General features: G+C 42.9%; 1 protein-coding gene across 13 annotated transcripts in view; it reads left to right on the top strand.

The window, feature by feature from the left end:
* Positions 1–27,976, top strand: part of TADA2A (transcriptional adaptor 2A) — a 72,840-nt gene that overhangs the window by 3,531 nt on the left and 41,333 nt on the right. For 7 of the 13 annotated variants that reach the window (NM_001166105.3, XM_017024982.1, NM_001291918.2 and 4 more), the window contains exons 2-5: positions 853–974; positions 13,093–13,199; positions 16,534–16,593; positions 27,322–27,413. In NM_001166105.3, coding sequence (NP_001159577.2) covers positions 950–974; positions 13,093–13,199; positions 16,534–16,593; positions 27,322–27,413 — 284 coding nt within the window. In that variant the 5' untranslated portion in view covers positions 853–949. Of the gene's footprint in view, positions 1–852; positions 975–13,092; positions 13,200–16,533; positions 16,594–27,321; positions 27,543–27,976 lie in introns of those variants that run through there. The other 6 variants (XM_017024981.2, XM_047436610.1, XM_011525154.3 and 3 more) reach the window with 5 other exon arrangements.

Raw genomic sequence — 27,976 nt, forward strand, 5'->3', positions numbered from 1 at the left:
CCTCCCACGTCAGCCTCCCAGAGTGCTGGGATTACAGGCATGAGCCACTGTGCCTGGCCCTGTTACGTACTTGTTGAAAGAGTGAGGAACAAATGTATGTTGTAATAGATAGGATTTTTTGGTTTCCAGTTACAGAAACTCGTTCAGTCTTATGATTAAAGTTGAGTTTATTAAAGTTTATTAAAGAGAGAGAAATGAGAGAAGAGTTAAACAGTTGAGCCACCTGGGGCTAGGGATTTCAACAGCCAGAGCACATGGACTGAATTCTTTGAATGAATTCTAGTGAATAACTAAGCTCCAACTGCCTTCTGTCCTTTCATGTCTTACTCAAGATCCAGATTTCTGGAAGAAGAGACCTGGTTGCTTTAGCTTTTGTCAGGGGTGGGGAATGGGGTATTGTGATTGGCAGCCCCACCAGTATCACATGAAATGTGGGAGGGTCAGTTTCCCAAATAAAGATGGCAGCTAAGGAGAGAAATGATGCTGAGTAGAGAAAGCCAACAGTTGTTTATTAGAAATATGTAGCATTTGCCCCTGCCACCCTCAGTGCCCCATAGACCCAGATCCTTCCTCATAAAAAAGAAAAATATGTAGCATTTATAGAGGACCAGGTACCATGCTACATTACTTATATGGATTATGATATTTGATTATAACATTTAATTCTCACAACTTTGGAAGGTAGGCACTGTTATACCCACTACAGAGGAAGAAACAGGTTTTCAGAGGTGGAATAATTTTTCAACATTACAAAGCTAAGATGTGGCAGAGCTGAGTATGTTGCATATCTTCTCTTTATCTTGTCCCTTTGAATGATTTTCTGATCCATGTGCCACTTTTGTTTGTTCCTAGGGAGTCATCAAGCTTTGGTGTATGTGTTGGCCGGTTCTGAAGTCTTGAAGAAGCTCTGCTGAGGAAGACCAAAGCAGCACTCGTTGCCAATTAGGGAATGGACCGTTTGGGTTCCTTTAGCAGTAAGTACAGTGGGAACAAGTCTCAGGTGACTTATTATTATTTTTTTTTTGAGATGGACTCTCCCTCTGTTGCCCAGGCTGGGGTACAGTGGCATGATGTTGGCTCACTGCAACTTCTGCCTCCCGGCTTTAAACGGTTCTCCTGCCTCAGCCGCCTGAGTAGCTAGGACTACAGGCGCGCACCACCACACACAGCTAATTTTTTTTATTTTTATTTTTAGTAGAGATAGGGTTTTACCATGTTGGCCAGACTGGTCTTGAACTCCCGACCTCAGGTGATCCACCCACCTCGGCCTCCCAAAGTGCTGGGATTACAGGTGTGAGCCACCACTCCCGGCCTTCAGGTGACTATTAATAGCAAACTAGAGTGGAAGTTGATCAAGGAAGAAAAATAAACGATGAAGTTAGGCAATAAAGCCCTTTGACTCTGATTCTAAGGGAATTATGAGTATCAAAATAAAATCAATTAATACATATTGATTACCCATTGAACACATGACACAAACATATGACCCTGGGTCTTACAAGAAAATGAAGCAGCCGGGCGTGGTGGCTCACGCCTGTAATCCCAGCACTTTGGGAGGCCGAGGCAGGCAGATCACGAGATCAGGAGATGGAGACCATCCTGGCTAACACAGTGAAATCCCGTCTCCAGTAAAAAATAAAAAAAATTAGCCAGGCATGGTGGCAGGCGCCTGTAGTCCCAGCTACTTGGGAGGCTGAGGCAGGAGAATGGCATGAACCCGGGAGGCGGAGCTTGCAGTGAGCTGAGATTGTGCCACTGCACTCCAGCTTGGGCGACAGAGTGAGACTCTGTCTCAAAAAAAGAAAAAAAAAAAAAAAAGAAAATGAGGCTGAGATGGACCAGGCATATTCTGATTAACCTGTAGTTAAACCTAGAAAAGCCATGGGATTTCTGTTTAGACCAATAACATGTTTCAGGCACCTTGATAAGAAATGTGTCAGTGGTAAGATAAAGGAAAGATCATCCCACCTCCCCCTTGATGTGGAACTTGTTTCTAAGAGTAAACCACGGTAGAATAATTTAGAGAATTATGGGGTATGTATGAAGTAAATTCAAGTAGCCATAACTATGGATAAAAAAATTATACTGGCCAGGTGCCATGGCTCACGCCTGTAATCCCAGCACTTTGGGAGGTCGAGGTGGGTGGATCATGAGGTCAGGAGTTTGAGACCAGCCTGGCCAACAAGGCAAAACCCCGTCTCTACTAAAAATACAAAAATTAGCTGGGGGTAATGGCGAGTAACTATAATCCCAGCTACACGGGAGCTGAGGCAGGAGAATCGCTTGAACCTGGGAGGCAGAGGCTACAGTAAACCAAGATCATGCCACTGCACTCCAGCCTGGGTGACAAGAGCAAGAATCTGTCTCAAAAAAAAAAAAATTATACTGCTCTTTTTCCCTGATTCTGAATATATGAGATTTGGCAGAAATAGAAATTCCATTGTTAGATGTTTAGTAGTATCCTAATGAGAAGAATCAGAAAAGTACTTTTTGGGTGTTGTTTCCTCTTCAACAATTCGTGTTTTTTTTGAGATGGAGTCTTGCTGCATTACCCAGGCTGGAGTGCAGTGGCATGATCTCGGCTTACTGCAACCTCCACCTCCCGGGTTCAAGCAATTCTCCGTCTCAGCCTCCCGAGTAGCTGGGAGTATAGGCGTCTGCCACCACGCCCGGCTAATTTTTGTATTTTTAGTAGATACAGGGTTTTACCTTGTTGGTCAGGCTGGTCTTGAACTCCTGACCTCAGGTGATCCACCAGCCTTGGCCTCCCAAAGTGCTGGGATTACAAGCGTGAGCCACCGCTCCCGGCCTGACAGAACAATTTCTTAAAGGAGCTCTAATTTACTTTTTGATCACACTCCTAATATAAATTTAGGAGAGAATGGAGTCTTCAGACACATCTAGTTCAACTCTTTCATTTTACATGTAGAGAAATCTAAGTGGACTGCTCTAATGCTGGGAGTGTCCAAAATAAACTTCTTTTTGGAAATAATTTCAAACTTAAGTTGCAAGAATAAGAATACAAACAATACCCACATACCTTTTGTTAACCTTTTACTCCATCTGCTTTGTCATTTGCATGTGCACTGTCTGTCTCTGTGTGTGTGTATATATATGTTTTTTATTTTTTAATTTTTTTTATTTTTAAGAGATGGGGTCTCACTGTGTCACCCAGGCTGGACTGCAGTGACACAATCATAGCCCACTGGAGCCTTGAATTCCTAGGCTCAAGCGATGCCCCCACCTTGGCCTCCCAGTGTGTTGGTATTATAGGCATAAGCCACCATGCCTGGCCCAATCTTTACTATTAAGGTTGCAAAAAGATGATTCCCCCCCCACCCCCTGCCAAATCTAGTGCTCTCTCCACATTTACTAGTTAGCATTTTTAGTTTTTATTTTAAGTTCAGGGGTACATGTGCAGGGTTGTTATATAGGTAAACTTCTTGTCACAGGGGTTTTGTGTACAAATTATTTTGTCACCAAGATAATAAGCATAGCACTCGAGAGGTAGTTTTTGGGTCCTCTCCCTCCTCCCACTGTTCACCCTCAAGAAGGCCCTGGTTTCTGTTCCCCTCTTTGTGTCCATGTGTTCTTGTTTTTTTAGCTCATACTTGTAGGTGAGATCAGAGGGTATTTGGTTTTCTCTTCCTGTGTTAGTTTGCTTAGGATAATGACCTCCAGCTCCATCCATGTTGCTGCAAAGGATGTGATCTCATTACTTTTTTATGGCTGCATAGTATTCCATGGTATATATGTACCGCATTTTCTTTATCTGTTCACTTTTTTACTTATTTTTTATTATGGACACAGGAATTCCTATTTTTTCAAGGATTTACGATTTATTAGCATACATAACTAGCTAGGTTCATGGATTATTCCAAATTTGGCCACTGGGAGTCCCTTCAAATGGGCTCCTACATCCTTATAGCGTACTCTCATCATTTTTTTTTTCTTTTTAGCATCTCCGTCCTTTTTGGCATAACTAAATACTCCAAGTGCATCCTGTACTCCCCCCGCCCTGGAATCAGCCACTTCTCTGAGGAGTCCTGGTACTTTTACAAGGGAGTCATATCAGAGACCGAGATCTTTTCATCTACTAGAATATTTTTGCATCTTGGCCCTTTTGGCTGACAGAACTAGGAAATATATGCATGTTATGTGCTATATACATATATGCCAGTATACATACACACATGCACATTTACGTACACATATACTTCTTTTGAGGAAATCATGAGTTCACATTGATACCTCTAATTCATCATCATGGGCTTTTTTCTTGTCTGCATTAATTCCTCATTCACATGTCTCTACTCAGTGAGAACCCTGGCTCCCAACATCAATATAATTCCACTATCCCCTGCCCTCAACCCCTTGTACTTACCAACTTCATTGTTTTCTGGTTTAATCTGTCCCTTAATCCTTTTTGCAAAGAAAAGAGGACTGTTTTTTACTCTAATTTTTTTCTTTTTCTTTTCTCTTTTTTTTTTTTTGAGACAGAGCTTCGCTCTTGTCACTCAGGCTAGAGTGCAGTGCCACGATCTCAGCTTACTGCAGTCTCCACCTCCTGGATTCAGGTGATTGTCCTGCCTCAGCCTCCTGAGTAGCTGGAATTACAGGTGTCTGCCACCACACCTGGCTAATTTTTGTATACGGGATTTCACCATGTTGGCCAGGCTGGTCTTGAACTCCTGATCTCAGGTGATCCACCCGCCTTGGCCTCCCAAAGTACTGGGATTACAGGCACAAGCCACCGTGCCTGGCCTCTAATTTCTTATAGGAAAGATAGCATACTATATATATGTGTTCTTTTGTACTTTTAAAAAAATTCTTCAATCAGCACCAGGATTGTACTTTTTTCCCCTCACTTAATAGTATCTCCTGGAAATACTGTATTAGTTGGTAGAGGTTGTCCTCATTCTGTTTTTTATAGTTGCATAATACTTCATTGTGTGGATATGTTATTATTCAAATAATTGCTTATACTTGGACATCTAAGTAGTATTTTGCAATTACATCTAATATTATATATAACCTTGGATGTGTGTATTTTTGTATTATTGGAAATGTATATTCATGGTAAAAAATTCCTGGAAGTGAGATTGCTGGGTCAAAAGATAATGCCCCTCTATATGAGTTGTACTATTTTGTATTCCCACCAGTGATACGTAAGAGTGCCCCGGCTGGGCGCGGTGGCTCAGGCATGTAATCCCAGAACTTTGGGAGGCCGAGGTGGGTGGATCATGAGGTCAGGTGTTCGAGACCAGCCTGACCACCATGGTGAAGCCTCTACTAAAGATACAAAAAATTAGCTGGGCTTGGTGGTACGTGCCTGTAATCCCAGCTACTCAGGAGGCTGAGGCAGGAGAATCGCTTGAACCTGGGATGCAGAGGTTGCAGTGAGCCAAGATTGTGCCACTGCACTCCAGCCTGGGCGACAAGAGTGAAACTCCTTCTCAAAAAAAAAAAAAAAAAAGTGTCTATATTCCCACAGCCTGACTAATTATATTGTCAGGCATTGAAACTTTTGCCAATCTGATGGGTGAGAAACTATATGTCAGGGTAGTTTTAAATTTTATCTTGCTTATGAGTGAAGCTGAACATTTTTTCATATGTTTAAGGCCATTTTATGTCTCTTTTTTTTCCCCAAATTGTCTTTGTGTCTTTCGCAGCAGGATCTTTGGTCTTTTATTCTCCCTCTCAATTTTTTTTTTTTTTTTAAACGGAGTTTCACTCTTGTCACCCAGGCTGGAGTGCAATGGTGCGATCTCGGCTCACCGTAACCTCTGTCTCCCGGGTTCAAGCGATTCTCCTGCCTCAGCCTCCCAAGTAGCTGGGATTACAGGCACATGCTGCCATGCCCAGCTAATTTTTGTATTTTTAGTAGAGATGGGCTTTCCTTCGTGTTGGCCAGGCTGGTCTCGAACTCCCAACCTCAGGTGATCTGCCTGCCTCGGCCTCCCTCTCAATTTTTTAAAGTTGTTTGCATACTAGGGATTTCAGTGCTTTTTTTCTGATATGTTTACAAATATTTTCTTAAAGTATACTTGCTTTTTTACTTTCCTTATGGTGTTTTTGCCAAAAAAAGTTTTTTGTTTTCTTTTTATTAATGTAGTCAAGTTTATTAACCCTTTATTGAATTTGAATGATGGTTAAAAAGCCTCACTCGGCCACACATGGTGGCTCACGCCTGTAATCCCAGCACTTTGGGAGGCCGAGGCAGGCAGATCACGAGGTCAAGAGATTGAGACCATCATGGCCAACATGGTGAAACGCCATCTCTACTGAAAATACAAAAATTAGCTGGGCATGGTGGCACACACCTATAGTCCCAACTACTTGAGAGGCTGAGGCAGGAGAATCACTTGAACCTGGGAGGCAGAAGTTGCAGTGAGCCAAGATCGCACCACTACACTCCAGCCTTCCAGCCTGCCAGCCTGGCAACAGAACGAGAGTCCGCCTCAAAAAAAAAAAAGCCTCTCTCTTGTTTCCTGTTATCTCAGTGAAAAATTAGATAAAAAGTCTTTCTCTTAGATTTTAAAAAATTTTGAAATACCTTTTGAAGGACAGTTGGGCTCTGTGTATCAAAAACCTAAAAATGCTCAATAACTGTACACTCAACAATTTTAGTTCTAGGAAAATATATATCCTGAGGAACAGATGTGAAATGTACATACAAAAGACCGGGCACAATGGCTCACGACTGTAATCCCAGCACTCTGGGAGGCTGAGGCAGACGGATCACCTGAGGTCAGGAGTTCGAGACCAGCCTGGCCAACATGGTGAAACCCCGCCTCTACTGAAAATACAAAAATTAGCTGGGTGTGTTGGTGGGCGTAATTCCAGCTACTTGGGAGGCTGAGGCAGGAGAGTCGCTTGAACCCGGGAGGCAGAGGTTGCAGTGAGCTGAGATCGCGCCACTGCACTACAGCCTGGGCAACAGAGCAAGACTCCGTCTCAAAAAAAAAAAATTAGCTGGGCATGGTGGCATGCACCTGTAGTCCCAGATACTAGGGAGGCTGAGGTGGGAGGATCACTGAGTCTGGGAGGGAGAGTTTGCAATCAGCCAAGTTTACTATTTGGAAATAAAATACATAAGACAATATGTCTACATATGTGATTTCTTTTTTTTTCTTGAGACATAGTCTCGCTCTGTTGCCCATGCTAGAGTGCAGTGGCATGATCTCAGCTCACTGCCATCTCTGCCTCCTAGGTTCAAGTGATTCTCATGCCACAGCCTCCCGAGTAGCTAGGACTACAGGTGTGCGTCACCAGGCCCAGACAATTTTTGTATTTTTATTGGAGGTGGGGTTTCGCCATCTTGACCAGGCTGGTCTTGAACTTCTGGCCTCAAGTGGTCCACCTGTCTTGGCCTCCCAAAGTGCTGGGATTACAGGCATGAGCCACCATGCCTGGCATACATAATTTCAAAAATTAAAAATAATAATGCTCTAACTATAATAAAAGAGATAAATACAAGAGAAGTAATCTATGGTAAAACAATGCAATTTATAATAAAGCAATATGTATTTCAATATGTTTAGACATAATTACAATAGAAGACATGATTTAAGTACTAGATACTTGAACCCATATGTTGAATCACTGTGCATATACAAATGCAGAATGATTCAAGCGTGTCATGTTGGTGACTAAGAAACACCACAAGCTAGAATAACTAAACGTTCTGAACAAAACAAAATACATTCTCCTCTAGACTTATATACAATTGCCTGTCTGGAAATTTCAGTGCATATTAAAATTCTCAAAAATACTTTGCTTTATATATAACATGGAATTAGCTTCTAGGTCATATGAGATTTTTCATTCACTTGAATGTCTGGTGGGACATTTGAAAGTTGCACAGGACACACAAAAAAGTCAATTTTTATTAGAATGTATTGAGCATTGTAGGATACCTAGAATCCCTGTTTTAGGGGCCTGCAGAATGCCAGTGGGGCACTGGTCATTGTGGCAACAAAAAGGTACCTCCTCAGATTTCCAAATGGCTCCCTAGGGGGGAGTTGAGTACAATTAGGTTATATAATATAATTAATACAATGGAATGTTATTTATCCATTAGAAAGAACAAGGAAGGTCAATGTGTATTGTCATGAAAACATGTCCGCAATTTGTTGTCAAGTGAAAAAACATGTATGATATTCCACTTTTTCTTTTTCTTTTTTTTTTTTGAGACGGAGTTTCGCTGTTGTCACCCAGGCTGGAGTGCAGTGGCGTGATCTCGGCTCACTGCAACCTCCCCCTCCTGCGTTCAAGTGATTCTCCTGCCTCAGCCTCCTGAGTAGCTGGGATTAGGCGCCCACCACCACATCCAGCTAATTTTTTATTTTTAGTAGAGGTGGGGTTTCACCATGTTGGCCAGTCTGGTCTTAAACCCCTAACCTCTAGTGAGCCACCCGGCTCAGCCTCCCAAAGTGCTGGGATTACAGGTATGAGCCACCGTGCCTGGCTATTTTTTCTTTTTATTATTTTTGGTAGAAGCAGGGTCTTGCAGTATTGCCCAGGGTGGTCTTGACTTCCTAAGCTGAAGCGATCATCCTGCCTTTTCCTCCCAAAGTGCTGGGGTTACAGGCATGACCCACAGAGCCCAGCCTCTACTTTTGTTGAATATATGTACTATATTATATAGAAGAAAGGTTGGAAAAATATTTTTCAAAATGCTAATTGTGGATGACATACTTTACAGTTTTATTTTAGTCTGGAATGTTAAGAACTTACTTTTACAAAGTAATTGCTTTTTTTTTTCTTTTTGAGAGAGGGTCTTGCTTTCTTACCCAGGCTGGAGTGCAGTGGCATGCTCAAGGCTTACTGCAGACTCGATCTCAGCTCAAGTGATCCTCCTACTTCAGGCCTCCGTATAGCTGGGACCACCAAGCATGCACCACTGCACCTGCCTAATTTTGTGGGGTTTTTTTTTGTAGAGACATGGTTTCACCATGTTCCCCAGGCTGGTCTCGAACTCCTGAGCTCAAGTGATCCACCCACCTTGGTCTCCCAGAGTGCTGGAATTACGTGCATGAGCCACCGTGGCCCGTGCAGTAATTGCTTCTTGACATAAGGATTTAAAAAATCACTTTGGGCCTGCAATCCTAGCACTTTGGGAGGCTACGCCAGGTAGATTGCTTGAATCCAGGAGTTCAAGACCAGCCTGGGCAACATGGGAAAACCCCCCCTCTACTAAAAGTACAAAATTTAGCTGGGTGTAGTGCACATACATGTAATCCCAGCTACTTGGGAGGCTGAGGCATGAGAATTGCTTGAACGTGGGAGGCAGAGGTTTCAGTGAGCTGAGATCAAGCCATTGCACTGCAGCCTGGGTAACCAGAGTGAGACACTGTCTCAAAAAAAAAAAAAAGACCACTTTTCAGGAGTTCGAGACCAGCCTGGCCAATATGGTGAAACCCTGTCTCTACTAAAAATATAAAAAATTAGCCAGTCGTGGTGGTGTGCACTTGTAGTCCCAGCTACTCGGGAGGCTGAGGGAGAAGAATCGCCTGAATCCAGGAGGTGGAGCTTGCAGTGAGCTGAGATCGCGCCACTGCACTTCAGCCTGGGCGACAGAGCAAGACTCCGTCTCAAAAAAAAAAACTACTTTGCTCAGTGGCTGATGCCTTTTTTAAAAATAGGATAGTTGGAGGAAAGAGAGAAGCAAGCTTATATCTAACAGGAAGTGAGGAAGAGGGTAACTTGGTAGAAGTTGGCACCTGTCACTTAATATACAATAATTTTTGGCTCAGCGCAGTGGCTCACTCCTGTAATCACAGTACTTTGGGAGGCTGGGGCAGAAGGATCACTTGAGGCTGGAAGTTTGAGACCAGCCTGAGCAACATAGCAAGATTTGTTCTTCTGCATTAAAATTTAAAATGGGGGAAATGGAGTAGCTGCGCAGTTTCATATATTGAATTTGAAGCTACTGCCAGGAGTACATTTTTTTCTTTCATCATTTTCTTCTGTGTCTTTTTTTTTTTTTTTGAGATGGAGTTTCGCTCTTGTCACCCAGGCTGGAGTGCAATGGCACGATCTCAGCTTACTGCAACCTCTGCCTCCCGGGTTCAAACAATTCTCCTGCCTCAGCCTCCTGAGTAGCTGAGATTACAGGTGCCCACCACCACACCTGGCTAATTTTTGTATTTTTAGTGGAGATGGGGTTTCGCCATGCTGGTCAGGTTAGTCTTGAACTCCTGAGCTCAAGTGATCAACCCGCCTCAGCCTCCCAAAGTGCTGGGATTATAGGTTTGAGCCACCGTGCCTACTCTCTCTATCTTCTTAAAAACAAATAAAGAGAACAGTGATCTTCACTTGGAAGAGGGAAAGGTACCTTGAAGAACATTTCTTGGACTTTAGGGAGGCAAATACTGTTACAGAATGTGAGAAATCCTGTTCCAGGCTGAACAAATTAAATTCCTTCATCTACCTTCAAAGCTTTTCTTCTCTTAGATTCTTGTGATTGATCATAGAGAACAATTTTGCTAGGTTGCCGTGACTCCAGAGGCCGAATTTGGGGCAACCAGGGACACATATATCTGCATTTTTATGAGTTTTGAGAGTTTGGATTGTACTCCTTGTCTTCATAGTTTGGAGACATACCACTGTCATTGGAGTAGAAGATCTGCTGTGTTATGTACTTACCATGGGAGAAAGGGAGGAAGCTTCCTGGGTTTCAATTCCCACTCAGAGCCAGGTGTGGTGGCTCATGCCTATAATTCCACCACTTTGGGAAGCTGAGGCAGGAGGACTTCTTAAGACCAGTGTGGGCAACACAGTGAGACCCTGTCTCTACAAAAAGTAAAAATTTAGCCAGGCGCAGTGGTGCAAGTCTGTCCCTCCTCTTGGGAGGCTGAGGTGGGAGGAACACCTGAGCCTGGGGAGATTGAAGCCACAGTGAGCCATGATCTCACCACTGCACTCCAGCCTGGGCAACAGTCTAAGACCCTGTCTCAAGAAGACTCTGTCTCAAGAAGACCCTGTCTCAAGAAAAAAAAGAAAAATCCGAACTCAAATATAAAATAGTATATTCCAAAATATGTATTTAGAAGAGACATGTATTTAGAGGCTAGCTGAGTGTGATGGCTCATACCTGTAATCCCAACACTTTAGGAAGCTGAGGCAGCTCAAATTCCTGGAACCGTTTGAGCCCAGGAATTCAAGACCAGCCTAGGCAACATAGTGAAACTCTTGTCTCTACAGAAAATAAATTTTAAAAAAGTACCCGGGTGTGGTGGCTTGTGCCTGTAGTCCCTGCTAGTTAGGAGGCTGAGGTGGGAGGCTCATTTGAGCCTGGGAGGTTGAGGCTGCATTGAGGCATGATCGTGCAACCACACTTCAGCCTAGGTGACAGAGTGAGACCCTATCTCAAAAAAAAAAGGAGTTTTCTCTTATTTGCCCCAACTTTTTATAGAAAAGTCAAAAGAACAGTACAATGATGATGATGTGTTTTTTTATTTTTTTATTTTTTTTTGGAGACGGAGTCTCTCTCTGTTGCCCAGACTGGAGTGCAGTGGCGTGATCTCGGATCACTGCAACCTCCGCCTCCCGGGTTCAAGCAGTTCTTCTGCCTCAGCCTCCTGTGTAGCTGGGACTACAGATGCATACCGCCATGCTTGGCTAATTTTTTTGTTTTTTTTTTGAGACAGAGTAAGACTCTGTCGCCCAGGCTGGAGTGCAGCGGCGCGATCTCGGCTCACTGCAACCTGTGCCTTCTGGGTTCAAGTGATTCCTCTGCCTCAGCCTCCTGAGTAGCTGGGATTACAGGTGTGCACCACCACACCTGGCTAATTTTTGTGTTTTTAGTAGAGATGGGGTTTCACCATCTTGGCCAGGCTGGTCTTGAACTCCTCACCTCATGATCCACCCGCCTCGGCCCCCCAAAGTGCTGGGATTACAGGCATGAGCCACCGTGCCCAGCCAATTTTTTTGTAGTTTTAGTAGAGACAGGGTTTCACTGTGTTGCCCAGGCTGGTCTCAAACTCCTAAGAGCAGGCAATCTGCCTGCCTCAGCCTCCCAAAGTGCTGGGATTACAGGCGTGAGCCACCATGCCCAGCTGATTATTATTATTATTATTATTATTATTATTATTATTATTATTTGAGGCAGGGTCTAGCTCTGTCGCCCAGGCTGGAGTGCAGTGGCACAATCTTGGCTCACGGCAACCTTTGCCTTCCGGGTTCAAGTGATTCTGTGCCTCAACTTCCCAAGTAGCTGGGATTATAGGCTGCGCCCCCATCCCTGGCTGTTTGTATTTTTAGTAGAGACAGGGTTTCGCCAGGTTGGCAAGGCTGGTCTCAAACTTCTGGCCTCAGGTAATGCACCCACCTTGGCCTCCCAAAGTGCTGGAATTACAGGGTAAGCTAATGTGGCCGGCCTACAGTGATTATTTATATGCTTGCTACCTAGATTCAGCAATTGTTAACATTTTGTCAGATTTTCTTTATATTGTATGTGCAGGTATGTGTCCATTTTATGCTCCTGGAAAAATAAGTTTGGGATATTATGAAACTTCCAGTTAAAAATGTGTTTGTGACTGGGCATGGTAGCTCATACCTGTAATTCCAGAGCTTTGAGAGGCCAAGGCAGGAACATTCTTTGAACCTAAAAGTTCAAGACCAGCCTGGGCAACATGGTGAGACATCGTCTCTACAAAAAATTAACCAGGTGTGGTGGCATGTGCCTGTAGTCCTAACTACTTGGGAGGCTGAGGCAGGAGGATTGCTTAAGCCCAGGAGTTTCAGGTTACAGTGAGCTATTGTCAAGCCACTGCACTCCAGCCTGGGTGGCAGAGCAAGACCCTGTCTCTAAAAATATATAAATAAATCAACAAACAAACATATGCTTGTAAATTTCTCTGCAGGGTTCATATCTACGTAAATGCTGTGTGAAAGGGAACAATGCTGCCCTGAAGTTAAAAGGATCATAATTTTTGCTTTTTTTTATTTGTAATGAGCTCATCTTGTCTCCATGAACTTTTCAGCTTAGCTCACTACTTGTGTGGTCATTTGGGGATTTTCACCTTTTTGCACTTAAGATAACCGTAAGGTGGTCTGAAATGTGCATTTGTTTTCTGTTTGTTCTAGATGATCCCTCTGATAAGCCACCTTGCCGAGGCTGCTCCTCCTACCTCATGGAGCCTTATATCAAGTGTGCTGAATGTGGGCCACCTCCTTTTTTCCTCTGCTTGCAGGTAACTCACTAATGCTGGCTTCTCCTAGCCTAGTTTTATGCTATTTTTTATGATGTAATATTTCGGAGATTACTGTCAACTGCTAAGGAGATCTATGTCTTATTAAATCTATTCCTTCCAATTTTTCTTTTTCTTTCTTTTTTTTTTTTTTTGAGATGGAGTCTCACTCAGTCGCCCAGGCTGGAGTACAGTGGTGTCATCTCTGCTAACTGCAATCTCCACCTCTTAGGTTCAAGCGATTCTCCTGCCTCAGCCTCCTGAGTAGCTGAGATTACAGGCACACACCATTATGCCCAGCTGATTTTTGTATTTTTAGTAGAGACGGGGTTTCACCATGTTGGTCAGGGTGGTTTTGAATTCCTAACCTCATGATCCATCTGCCTCAGCCTCCCAAAGTTCTGGGATTACAGGCGTGAGCCACCGCACCCGGCCCCAATTTTTCATTATACGTTTTACCAGTGAAAAGTTGAGAAACAGAGCAGTTAGATGAGACAGACTGTTGATTAGTCCACATCTGTGTTTAAACCTAATACTTGGCCGGGCACAGTGGCTCATGCCTGTAGTCCTAGCACTTTTGGAGGCTGAGGCAGGTGGATCCCCTGAGGTCAAGAGTTCAAGACCAGCCCGGTCAACATGGTTCAACATGGTGAAATCCCATCTCCACAAAAATAAAAAAAAATTAGCTGGGCATGATGGCGGGTGCCTGTAATCCCAGCTACTTGGGAGGCTGAGGCAGGAGAATCTTTTTTTTTTTTTTGAGACGAAGTCTCGCTGTGTCACCAGGCTGGAGTGTAGTGGCACAATCTTGGCTCCCTGCAACCTCTGCCTCCCGGGTTCAAGTGATTCTCTTGCCTCGCAGATTGCACTCCAGCCTGGGCGACAGAGCAAGACTCTGTATCAAAAAACAAACAAAACCCTAATAGTTAACACTGTTTTTTTTGTTGTTGTTGTTTTGTTGAGACGGGAGTTTCGCTATTGTTTTCCAGGCTGGAGTGCAATGGTGTGATCTTGGCTCACCGCAACCTCTGCCTCCCGGGTTCAAGCGATTCTCCTGCCTCAGCCTCCTGAGTAGCTGGGATTACAGGCATGCGCCACCACACCCGGCTAATTTTGTATTTTTAGTATAGACAGGGTTTCTCCACGTTGGTCAGGCTGGTCTTGAACTCCAGACCTCAGGTGATCTGCCTGCCTCGGTCTCCCAAAGTGCTGGGATTACAGGGCGTGAGCCACCGTGCCCAGCTATTTTTTCTTTTTTTTCTTTTCCACGACAGAGTCTTGCTCTATCACCCAGGCTGGAGTGCAGTGGCGTGATCTCGGTTCACTGCAAGCTGTGCCTCTCGGGTTCAAGGGATTCTCCTGCTTCAAGGGATTCTCCTGCTTCAACCTCCCGAGTAGCTGTGGTTACAGGTGCATGCCACCATTCCCAGCTAATTTTTTATATTTTTGGTAGAGATGGGGTTTTCTCATGTTGGCCATGCTGGTCTCAAACTCCTGACCTCAAGTGATCCTCCTGCCTCAGCCCCCAAAGTGCTGGGATTACAGGCGTGAGCTACCACGCCCGGCCATAACACTGTTTTTTTAAGTTAATTTAAAGTATTGAAATTACAGGAAACATAACTGGAAGATTATTCCTTTTGATGACACTGTTTATTGTCTTGTTGAAGACTGATCTCTGTACAGATGACAAGGGAAGAAACAATTTTTGTGGGTGATAATGGTAATAATAATACTAATTATAAGTACTTGCTCTGTCCCAGGCACCACTTTGAGTACTTTACATGAATTAACCCTTAAATCATCACTGTAATCCTATGAAGTACCTATGATTAGTATCCCCATTTTATAGATGAAGAAATTTAGGCTAAGAGAGGTTAAGTAACTTGTTCAGGGTCACACAGCAAATACCATATTTTATCAGATCTAAGACACCATTGATTATAAGAAGCACCTCAATTTCAGAAATGTTAAAATGTAAAACTGGCTGATGAAAGTTGTGATGTACTTTCGATTATAAGATGAATCTTGATTTCAGAGAGTTTTTTTATTTTTTTGAGACAGGGTTTCACTGTGTCCTCTAGGCTGGAGTGCAGTGGCATGATCATGGCTCAATGCCACCTCTATCTTCCAGGCTTAAGTGATCCTTCTACCTCAGCTTCCCAAGTATCTGGGACTACATGCTTGTGCCACCATGTCCAGCTAATTTTTTTTTTTTTTTTTTTTCTGTGGAGAAAGGGTCTCGCCTTGTTGCTCAGGCTGGTCTGGAACTCTTGAGCTCAAGCAATCCTATCACCTCAGCCTCCCAGAATGCTAGGATTACTCCAGGCCTACTTCAGGGACTTTTTATTTTTCTTTAAAAAAAAATAAAGAATTTTTTTTAGAGATGGGGTCTTGCTCTGCTGTTCAGCCTGGAGTGCAGTGGTATAATCATAGCTCACTGCAGCCTCGACCTCCTGGGCTCAATGATCCTCCTCCCTCAGCCTGCCCTGAGTAACTAGGTCTATGGGCACAAGCCACAATGCCCAGCCCAGAGTTTAAAATATGAAACAATATTTATCTTAGAATGGCTGAAATACGGTTTCAGAGCCAGGATTCAAATTTAGGCTATATGATTGTGATTCCAGGGCATATGCTCTCCTCAAAGAGTTGTCTTAGAAAAAAGTATTTTTTTCAGACTTGTTTTTTCTCCATGAGGGCCACTGAAAAGCTGTGATCATGATTCCACCATTCTATTGCAGCTGCAGACAAGATTAAATGAATCCTTAAAAAATTGTTGTCCGGGCTCGGTGGCTCACGCCTGTAATCCCAGCACTTTGGGAGGCCAAGAAAGGTGAATCACAAGATCAGGAGTTCGAGGCCAGCCTGGCCAAGGTGGTGAAATCCCGTCTCTGCTAAAAATACGAAAATTAGCTGAGTGTTGTGCCGGCTGCCTGTAATCCCAGCTACTCGAGAGGCTGAAGCAGGAGAATCAACTTGAACCTGGGAGGCAGAGGTTGCAGTGAGCTGAGATGGCGCCACTCTAGCCTGGGTGAAAGAGCAAGACTCCGTCTCAGAAAAAAAAAAAAAAAAAAAAAAAACTTGTCAAGAAGTGGTGTGGTGGCCCACACCTGTAATCTTAGCACTTTGGGAGACTGAGGTACAAGGATCCCTTGAGCCTAGGAGTTCAAGGCTGCAGTGAGCTATGATGGTGCCACTGCACTTCGGCCTGGGTGACAGAACGAGACCCTGTCTCCAAAAATAAAATTTTAAAAACCCAAACTTGTCAGAAGAATAACACAAACCTCCTCTGTCCTTTAAGAAAGTAGCTTTTGCTAATTTAATTTTTCTTTCTTTGCAGTGTTTCACTCGAGGCTTTGAGTACAAGAAACATCAAAGCGATCATACTTATGAAATAATGGTAATGATGAAGTTGCTGGGAATTTCTGTTCACTTTTTTTAAGAATTAGACTGGGAAGTAGTTTTTCTTTTCCATTTTTCTTTAAGCTCTCTTGGACTTCAGGGAATTAGTTTTCTTAATCTCTGAGTATCTTTACCTTTTCTCCCCTTCGGAAATAGGTAATTGTTATCCAATAAGTTTTTTAGGGTTTTGTGGATCTATCAAGGTATTTAAGCACAAAAATAGTTTTATATACTCAGATTTTTGTTTGAAATTTGGAAATTATTCAAAGGAAATACTTTTGATATGAGGATAACAGGTATGCTGCTTTTTAAACTCATTGATAAACATAGCCAATGTGTTGTCACTGTGTGCTCATGGTATTTTTATGTGGTTCATGTGGACAGTGGTGTTTTTGTTGAGCAGTTCATTCCCTTGCCTTGGGGAAATTAGTTACCTTCTGAGAGTCAGGTTATAAAGTGAACACAGCAAATGAATTAATACATAAAATCACTGAAGAGGCAGACTGGTTTATAAGCTTGAATAAAACTTGGCTATAGCTTAATTGTAATGCCACACTTAAAGAAGGAATAAGAGTGTTCGTAGTGTCCTTCCAAGCCCTGGCCATGGGAGTGGGTGGTTTAATAAGCCAAAGTGAATATCCAGTCTGCTTGACGGGTATATATACCTTTGTCAAGATAGTTTTGTTGGCCAGGCACAGTAACTCACGCCTGTAATCCTAGCACTTCCAGAGGCCAGGTTGGGCAGATCACTTGAGGTCAGGAGTTCAAGACCAGCCTAGCCAATATAAGGTGAAACCCTGTCTCTATTAAGAATACAAAAATTAGCTGAGTGTGGTGATGTGCACCTGTAGTCTCAGCTACTTGGGCGTCTGAGGCAGGAGAATCGCTTGAACCCAGGAGGCAGAGGTTGCAGTGAGCCAAGATCGCACCACTGCACTCCAGCCTGGGCGACAGAGTGAGACTCCATCTCAAAAAAAAAAAGACAGTTTTGTCAGTTATCAGAACATATTAAGCATATAACTAAATCTCCTACTTCAAGCAGTTTTCTGACATTTGGCCCCCATGCAGTTGTTCTTACAGGAAAGGATCCTGGCAGGCTTGACAGTTAAAATTTCACATAGTAGATTAATCTATATTTTCTATCGATGCTGCAACAAATTACCAAAAATTAGATATCTTAAGACAACACAAATTTGTCTCACAGTTCTGTGGATCAGAAGATCATTAGGCTCAGCTGGTTTGCTCCAGGTTCCATAAGGCTGAAATGAAGATGTTGGCCAGCCTGGGCTCTCACCTGGAGGCCCTGGGGTAGAATCCACTTCTAGGTTCTTTCAGGTTGTTGGCAGAATTCACTGCCTTAAGGTTTTAGGAAGGATGCCACTGTTTTGATCAGGGCATGTTCTCCGTTTCCACAGGCTGTCTGCATTCCCTGGCTCTGGGCCCCCTTTCTCCATCCTCAAAGCCAGGAGCACAGGAAGTCCTTGAGGTTGTTGATGAAATCCAGGGAATCTCTATGACCTCTCCTATTGCCTTATCTTTCCTGTGCTGAATCTTTATGAGTGATTCTTCTGCTTTCCTCTTCTACTTTGAGACAGGGTCTCACTCTATCACCCAGGCTAAAGAGCAGTGGCACAATCACAGCTCACTGTAACCTCGACCTCCCAGGCTTAAGCTATCCTATCTCAGCCACCTGACTAGCTGGGACTATAGGCACAAGCCACCATGCCTGGCTAATTTAAAAATTTTTTTTGTAGGCCAGGCTTGGTGGCTCATGCCTGTAATCCCAGCACTTTGGGAGGCCGAGGCGGGTGGATCACAAGGTCAGGAGATCGAGACCATCCTGGCTAACATGGTGAAACCCCATCTCTACTAAAAACACAAAAAATTAGCCAGGTGTGGTGGTGGGCGCCTGTAGTCCCAGCTACTCGGGAGGTTGAGGCGGGAGAATGATGTGAACCCGGGAGGCAGAGCTTGTATTGAGCCAAGATTGTGCCACTGCACTCCAGCCTGGGCAACAGAGTGAGACTCCGTCTCAAAAAAAAAAAAAAAAGAAAAAGAAAAATTTTGTAGACAGGGGTCTAGGGGCCTTTCTATGTTATTCAGGCGTCTAGGGGTCTTTCTGTGTTATTCAGGCTGGTCTCAAACTCCTGGGCTCAAGTGATCCTCCCACCTCAACCCTCAACCTCCTAAAGTGCTGGGATTACAGGTGTGAGCCACCACAGCAGGCACCTCAACTATGTATAAGGACTCATGTGGATTACATTGGGCCTATCAGGGTAATCCAGGATAGTCTCTCTACTTTAAGGTCAGCTGATTAGTAACCTTTATTCCATCTGTAAAGTCCTTTCCCAGCAGTACCTCGCTAGTGTTTGATGGACTAGTCAGAAGACAGGAATCTTAGGATGAGGGGAACATCTTTATTTTTATTTTATTTATTTATTGAAAAAAAAAATAGAGACAGGGTTTCTCCATGTTGCCCAGGCAGGTCTCGAACTCAGGGGTTCAAGTTATCCTTCCACCTAGGCCTCCCAAAGTGCTGGAATTATAGACATGAGCCACCATGCCCAGCCAGAGAACATCTTTAGAATTGGGCCTCCTACAGCACTGCAGTATATTTACTTCAGTCTCTTAAAAGTTTAGAAAGGGTGAATCAGCATCTCTGAGCCTGACTATTGGTGGAGTCCTATTAAAATGAGTTTCTGGGCTTATAATATTCAGGGTCAGATTCTAGGCCACAATGAATTAATCAAAGAACCAGTTAGAGTTCTTGGGAGCCAACTAACTAGCCTTCCTCTATCCATCTCTAAACAATTTCAGTCTTTTAATGGCTTCAGTAATTGTAAGACTTGGAATAAATTTTTTCCCCCTTTAAATGCAAAAATGAAGGGTTAGGAGACTGTTCAAAGTAGCTGTGGATTTGAGTTAATTTCACCAAGGTTATCAGGTCTTCAGAAAGCTGGTTTATTTTTCCCAAATTAATGCGAGAATACCTAGAGCCAGAATACAAATTTATTCATTCACATTGTGAAATAACTCCTTAAGGGATAATTCAGTATAGCTTGGGTAGGTTGGTAGTCATGCTTATTCACTGTAGGAAAGCTGACCATGAGCTTTCTTTAGCTATTCTGGCATCATGTCTTCTTCATAATGCTGAAAGCACTGACTAAGTTTCACTCCACATCACTTCATTCTGATTACATCATCCTTTTCTCACGTATTCAACACCCATACAATCACATTTCAGAGTACTGTCCTTTACTTTGGGGAGCTTTTGGGGGTTACTAATACTTCCTTTTTGTGGCCCATCTTATTTATTCCCAGTGAATCTTTCCTTCTATAGGCATGATGACCAAATTTTAGCTTTCTACACAAAACTTGATTTTTTTGCCTCAGATAACTTTAAATGGTTTTCAGTACTTTTGTCATGTCACAGAGCTGTATTTTTGGGAGTTACTCATGCTGTGGTAGGTGGTGTGTTAACCAGGATTTCTGAATTCTATGCCTATTTTTGTCTTGTAATTCTTAGAACTTTGAACAAGTCAAGGCAGCTCTTTCTGCCACACCCTTTTATACCAGTGATTCTTAAACTTCAGTACATAAGAACTGCCTGGGAGCTTCTTATAAATGTAGATTTCTAGACTCTTCTGTGAGAGATTGTGGTTCAGAAGTGCTGAGGTTTGGTCCAGGAGTTGAATAATATTAATTCAACTTTTTGTAAAACTGCCTTGTGCCTTCTTTGGTGTGTCTGTGATGTAGAAAGTTTTTATTGTTTATCTCACAGTAAAGTTGGTTGAGAAACAATTAATATTCTAAAATACAGTTTTACAAATGACAGTCTCTTCAACTAATGTGTGTGTTGTCATATTTACATGTCTTTTGGTACTTGCTGAATTGAGAGTGATTATGAATTTAGTATAGATATAGACTCTGAAATTTCTCTGTTGGATTTCATAATACCTCATGTGCTAGATATATTCGTAGTACGTGCTCAGATGAAAATGTGTTGCTTATTGGTAGTGTAATCTCACAAATCATGACTTTTTTTTTGTCATTAACAAAAGGTATAACAAGTTCTAAGTGCCTGTGTAATCTGAAGACCTCCTGTGTGGTCTTCAGATTATTTTTTTTTTACTTGTTATTATAGAAAAGTTCAGATATACACAAGAGAGAATGATGTTTGGTTATCTATTGCTATGTAACAGCTACCTCAAAACCTCATGCTTAAAAATGACCATTTTATTATCTCCCACAGTTTTGTGGGTCAGGCATTCAGATTAGGCACAGTGAGGGTGGCTCTTGGCTCCACATGATGTACTTAGGCTGAAAGTCCCAAGAGGGTTATGAATTTAGTATAGGCATAGACTCCAAAATTTCTCTCTTGGATCTCATAATACATCATGTGCTAGGCATATTCATAGTACGTGCTCAGATGAAAATGTGGTTGTCATTGTAACCAACTACTACATAATGGTAATAAATTTCCGTTTACCCATCACTAACTCTTAAAATTATTGACTCGTGGCCAATCTTACTTTATCTAAACCATCACCTTTTCTTTTATCTTTTCTTTTTTTTTTTTTTGAGACAGAGTCTTGCCCTGTCGCCCAGGCTGGAGTCCAGTGGGTTGATTTCGGCTCACTGCAACCTCCGACTCCTGGGTCCAAGCGATTCTCCCGCCTCAGCCTCCTGAGTAGCTCAGATTACAGGCACACACCACCGTGCCCGGCTAATTTTTGTAGAGACAGGGTTTCACCATGTTGTCCAGGCTGGTCTTGAACTCCTGACCTCAGGTGATCTGCCCACCTCGGCCACCCAAAGTGCTGGGATGACAAGCGTGAGCTACTGCACCCAGCCTAAACCATCACCTTTCTAGATTATTTTGAAGCAAGTATCCTAGACAGTATATCATTTCATCTTTCAGTATTTCATTAGGTCTCTACGTAATTCTAGTCACTTTTCACATTCCCCGTCATTTCATAAAGGCTTAATATCTAAAACCCTGCTGCCTTTTTTACCCTTGAAACAATCACTGTTCTGATTTTTTTTTTTATCAGCGTAGATTGGTTTTGCATATTCTAGAACTGCATATATATGGAATCATACTGTATGTACACTTCTGTTGTTTCTGGTTTCTTTCACTCAGCTTTTTTATTTATTTATTTATTTTTTTTTTGTGACAGTCTTGCTCTATTGCCCAGGCTGGAGTGCAATTGCACAATCTCGGCTCACTGCAACCTCCGCCTCCCGGGTTCAAGCAGTTCTCCTGCCTCAGCCTCCCAGGTAGCTGGGATTATTATAGGCGTCCACCACCGCGCCTGGCTAATTTTGTATTTTTAGTAGAGACGGGGTTTCACCATGTTGGCCAGATTGGTCTCGAACCCCTGACCTCAGGTGATCCACCTGCCTTGGCCTCCCAGAGTGCTGGGATTACAGGTGTGAGCCACCGCGCCTGGACTCACTCAGCATGCTTTTGAGTTTTATTCATGTTGTGTATGTTACTGGTACATTTGCTACTAATCATTTCTTTTAATTACTGAGTAATATTCTGTTGTACGAACATAATACAGTTTTTTATCCATTCTCCCTTTGATGGACACCTGGGCCTTGCCCACGTTTAGGCTATTGTGAATAAAGCTGCAATGAGTATTCTTATATAAAGCTTTCTATGTACATATGTTTTCACTGTTTTTTGGATAAATACCTAGGAGTGAAATTGCTGGGTCATAGAGTAAATGATTGTTTAACTTTTAAATAAACGATTGGCAAGTTTTCCAAAGCATTTATATCATTTTACACCTCTGTCGACAATATATGAGAGTTCTGATTGCTTCATGTGCTTGCCAACATTTGGCATTGTCAGTTTCATTCATTTTAGCTATTTTAGTCAGTGCAGTGTGGTATTGTGGTATTACAATTTTTTTTTTTTTTTTTTTTTTTTTTTACTTTTTGCAGTTTGTTTAATTCAGATACAAATAAGATTCACACATTTCAATTTTCCAATTGGTTGCCTTTTATGTATTTTCTATTCTGTATGGGTTTTCCTTCCCTTTCTCTCATTTCTTTTTTTTGGTCTTATTTTAGAATAATTATTTTTTAAATTTTCTTCTTAAAAATATAGGGAAATAGAAATAGAGTTTTGCCATGTTGTCCAGGGTGGTCTTAAACTCCTGGACTGAAGGGATCCTCCCACCTTGGCCTCCCAGAGTGCTAGGATTACAGGTGTGAGCCACCGTGCCCAGCCATTTTTGGGTTTACTGAAGTTGCAAATGTAGTATAGAGAGTTCCCATCTATCCTTCATCCTGCTTCCCCAAATGTTAACATCTTACATTATAGTACATTTGTCAAAATTGAGAAATGAACATTGGCCGGGTGCGGTGGCTCCTTCCTGTAATCCCAGCACTTTGAGAGGCTGCGGTAGGAGAATTGTTTGAGTCCAGGAGTTTGAGACCAGCCTGGGCAATCTAGAAAGACCCCATTGCTGCAGAAAAATTTAAAAATTAGGTGGGTGTGGTTGCACATGCTTATATTCTTAGCTACTTGTATGGTGGAGGCAGGAGGATTGCTTGAGTTCGGGAGTTTGAAGCTACAGTGAGCCATGATCACACCAGTGCACTCCAGCCTGGTCAACCCACAAGACCCCGTCTCAAAGAGAAAAAAGGGCTGAGCTCGGTTCCTCATGCCTGTAATCCCAGCATTTTGGGAGGCCGAGGTGGGCGGATTACTTGAGGTCGGGAGTTCAAGACCAGCCTGGCCAACATGGTGAAACCCTATCTCTACTAAAAATACAAAAAATTAGCCAGGTACAGTTGTGTGTGCCTGTAATTCCAGATGTTCTGGAGGCTGAGGCAGGAGAGTCGCTTGAACCCAGGAGGTGGAGGTTGCGGTGAGCCGAGATCATGCCACTGCACTCCAGCCTGGGCTATGGAGCAAGACTTGGTCTCAAAAAAAAAAAAAGTGGGGGGCAAAAGAAATGAACATTACTACAATACTAGTAACTATAGATTTTATTCAGATTTCTCCAGATTTTCCACAAATGTCCTTTTCTGTTGCAGGATCCAATTGGGGATCCCACATTGCATTTAGTCATAATGTTTTCTCCAATCTATGACAGTTTCTTAGATTTTCCTTGTTCATGACCTTGACAGGTCGAAGTGTATTTTGTACAGTGTCTCTCAATTTTGTCTTCATAGGTTTGATATTTTATCATGATTAGATTTGGATTATAGATGTTTAGGTGGAAGATCACAGAGGTGAATTGCCTTCTCATTTTATCATATCAGACGATACATAATTTAACACTGGTGATGTTGAAAAATGAGCAGCCAGCCACAAGAGATGCATGAGGCAGGGTGTATGTGGGAAGGGGTACGGAGCTTTCCTGTCCTCTCTGGGTACACCGCCCTCTACCTCCATGTGTTCAGCAGCCCGGAAGCTCCTCGCTCTCATTTCTTATTATTCGTTTGATTTTTAAAAGCTGGATTGTTTGTCTTACAGATGTTAGTACAGTCTGGATTCTGTTGACTAATGTGTTCCTCTCTCTTCTGTGTTTCCTATAAATTAGTAGTTACATTTAATGACTACTTCAGATTCATTTAGGACCATTGTCTGGATCTGCTAATTCACCAAGGATTGCAAAACATTAATCTTTTAATTCTATCACTCATTTTAATTTATGAGTTAGAAATTTCTTATTATTGTGTGGTCCCTTGGAGTAACGTTTATACAGGAAAGGAAACAGAAAAGATGATTACTTCCCTTTATTTACTAGTTTTGAGAATATGCATTGGTTCCCTAGCATCCTCTACATATTTAAATATTTGATGTTTCAGTCCTTTGTGGTTATTATACTTATTGATGCTCAAAATATTCCATTTTTAGTTAACAGGAGTCTCTGGAAGTTGACTTCTGAATTTTTTTGACATGACCTTTATAGTCTTTAAGAGCTTCTTTGCTGCCAGGCACGGTGGCTCATGCCTATAATCCCAGCACTTTGGGAGGCCCAGGCGGGCAGATCACCTGAGGTCGGGAGTTCGAGACCAGCCTGACCAACATGGAGAAACCCCGTCTCTACTAAAAATACAAAATTAGCCAGGTGTGGTGGCACATGCTTGTAATCCCAGCTACTCATTGCTACTGGGTTGGTCATTTTTCCTGGACCTTTTCAATGAACGATGTTAGGAAATTATTTTTCTTGTAAGATACAACACATGAGTTCATAATAAAACTTTCAATTTAAATACGAGACTACAAGAGTTTTGTTTGTTTGTTTTCTGTTTGTTTGTTTGTTTGTTTTTGAAACGGAGTCTCTCTCTGTCCCGCAGGCTGGAGTGCAGTGGCGCCATCTCGGCTCACCGCAAGCTCCACCTCCCGGGTTCACGCCATTCTCCTGCCTCAGCCTCCCGAGCAGCTGGGACTACAGGCACCTGCCACCACACCCGGCTAATTTTTTGTATTTTTAGTAGAGACGGGGTTTCACCGTGTTAGCCAAGATGGTCTCGATCTCCTGACCTCGTGATCTGCCCGCCTTGGCCTCTCAAAGTGCTGGGATTACAGGCATGAGCCACTGTGCCCGGCCTGTTTTTGGTTTTTATGAGACAGAGTCTCTTGCCCAGGCGGGAGAGCAGTGGTGCAATCTCAACTCACTGCAGACTCTACCTCCCGGGTTCAAGCGATCCTCCTGCCTTAGCCTGCCAAGTAGCTGGAACCACAGGTGCGCGCCACCATGCCCAGCTAATTTTTGTAGTTTTTGTAGAGACAGGGTTTTGCCATCTTGCCCAGGCTGGTCTCAAACTCCTGAGCTCAAGCAATCCACCCACCCAGGTCTCCCAAAGTGCTGGGACTACAGGTGCATGCCAACACTCCCAGCTAATTTTTGTAGTTTTTGTAGAGATGGGGTTTCACTATGTTGCCCAGGCTGGTCTCAAAACTCCTGAGCCCAAAAAGTCCACCCACCCAGGCCTCCCAAAATTCTGGGATTGCAGGCATGAGCCACCATGCCTGGCCAACTACGAGGTTTTTACATAACCTCACAGATCTTACAGCTATATCTTTTTTTTTTCCCAAGCCAAAAATTATACTTCCCAATGACACTAACCAACGTAATTATTTATTTGCTTTACCTCATAACATATACACATACACTAATCTCAAAATAACTGTCAATACTAAAGAAACATTTTAAGATTTGGCAATTTCTTTTGTTTTTAAGGTATATCCTACTTAGAGATATTTAGTCAAATTAAGTGTTTCAAAATCACTTGAAATAGTTCCTTTCTGTGTGATTATGCCTTCAAATTGATTTCTGAGTTCGTTATATTTTGCATTTTATTCTTAAGATTTTGAAGTTTATTTTTATTTTTATTTTTTGAGACGGAGTCTTGCTTGTTGCCCACGCTGGGGTTCAGTGCTATGATCTCGGCTCACTGCAGCCTCCACCTTCCAGTTCAAGCGATTCTCCTGCCTCAGCCTCCCGAGTAGCTGGGACTACAGGTGCGTGCCACCATGTCCGGCTAATTTTTGTATTTTTAGTAGAGACGAGGTTTCATCATGTTGGCCAGCCTTGTCTTGAACTCCTGACCTCAAGAGATCCACCTGCCTTGGCCTCCCAAAGTGTTGGGATTACAGGCGTGAGCCACTGAGGCCAGCCTAAAGTTTAATATTATACTCTTTATGTTTCAAAGTTAAATCTACAAGCAAGGAATATTCAGAGACATCTAGCTTCTGGATAGATGTCTCTACCCTGTTCTCTTTCTTCCTCCCCATAGTAACCTTTTTTTTTTTAAAGTGTGTTTTATTCTTCCATTTAAAAAAATACATACATATTTGTCTTTTCCTCTTTCTTAGCTAAATGGGAGCGTACTGAAATATTTATCTCTACCTCTGTGTTAAGTTTAAAAATATATGTATATCTGCATGAATTGCTTGGCATTTATAGGTGATATGGAGGCCCTTCTAGCTAATGGTGGAAACGGGTGGGAGAGGTGGACAACTAATAAGAATGTACCCTGGGTATCTCTCATCATTCGGCTGTAAACTATTACTACAGTTGAAGTTCCTAGATTCCATTTATTTTTAATTTTTTTTTTTTTTTTGAAACGGAGTCTTGCTCTGTCGCCCAGGCTGGAGTGCAGTGGCGCGATCTCAGCTCACTGCAAGCTCCGCCTCCGCCTCCTGGGTTCATGCCATCCTCTTGCCTCAGCCTCCCAAGTAGCTGGGACTACAGGCGCTCACCACCAGGCCCGGCTAATTTTTTATATTTTTAGTAGAGACGGGGTTTCACTGTGTTAGCCAGGATGGTCTCGATCTCCTGACCTCGTGATCCGCCCTCCTCGACCTCCCAAAGTGCTGGGATTACAGGCGTGAGCCACTGTGCCCGGCCTATTTTTGATTTTTGAGACAGAGTCTTGTTGTGACGCCCAGGCTGAAGTGTGGTGGTGTGATCTCAGCTCACTGCAACCTCTGCTTCCGCAGTTCAAGTGATTCTCCTGCCTCAGCCTCCTGAGTAGCTGGGACTACAGGCGTGTGCCACCATGCCCAGCTCATTTTTGTGTTTTTAGTAGAGATGGAGTTTCACCATATTGGCCAGGCTGGTCTCGAACTCCTGACCTCAGGTGATCCGCCCGCCTCCGCCTTCCAAAGTGCTGGGAGTATAGGCGTGAGCCACCGTGCCTGGCCCCTAGATTCCATTTGTATCTCTGTTCTTAAGCAAAACTTTTTTCTCCTTAGACTTCAGATTTTCCTGTCCTTGATCCCAGCTGGACTGCTCAAGAAGAAATGGCCCTTTTAGAAGCTGTGATGGACTGTGGCTTTGGAAATTGGTAAGAGCTTGGTGTTAAGAGTTGTCCTGCCCTAGTGGACTCAGAGAAGAAGCTGTTGTTGAAGAGTAAAGGAAGGAACCTCAGGAAGAGAAAGTATGTGTTGCTTTCCTATCAACCCATGATTTAGAGGCAAGTTAGTCCCCTCTGTACATTATTTTTCCAGTGTCGAAATGTGTCACGAGGATATGGGATGTTTAGCGGTCCATGACTGAGCAGCTTTAAAAGGCCACTTTGGATGTATCAACAGTGGGAAGATTGATTATTATTCCTTTCTGAATAGTAGGGAAGTTTAGTTTCGTTAGTTATTACTCCCTTCTGATTTTATGAATTTTTGTTAGTTGTAGATGCCCTAGTCATTTAAGTGAATCAGACTTTAGCTAGATGGTCATACGTAAGATTCAAGTTTCACAGACTTCCTGATAGCATTCTCTGTTTTTAGCTTTCAAACACCTACCTGCCTTAGTCCAAAACCGGCGGAATTGAATAGCACTTATTGCTGTTGACCTAGGGGGCAGCACCACTTAATACTACCACTTTCGTTTTTATCTTTTGGGAACACTTTC

The sequence above is a fragment of the Homo sapiens genome, chromosome 17 (assembly GCF_000001405.40).
Source record: "Homo sapiens chromosome 17, GRCh38.p14 Primary Assembly".
NCBI classification, from domain to species: domain Eukaryota; kingdom Metazoa; phylum Chordata; class Mammalia; order Primates; family Hominidae; genus Homo; species Homo sapiens.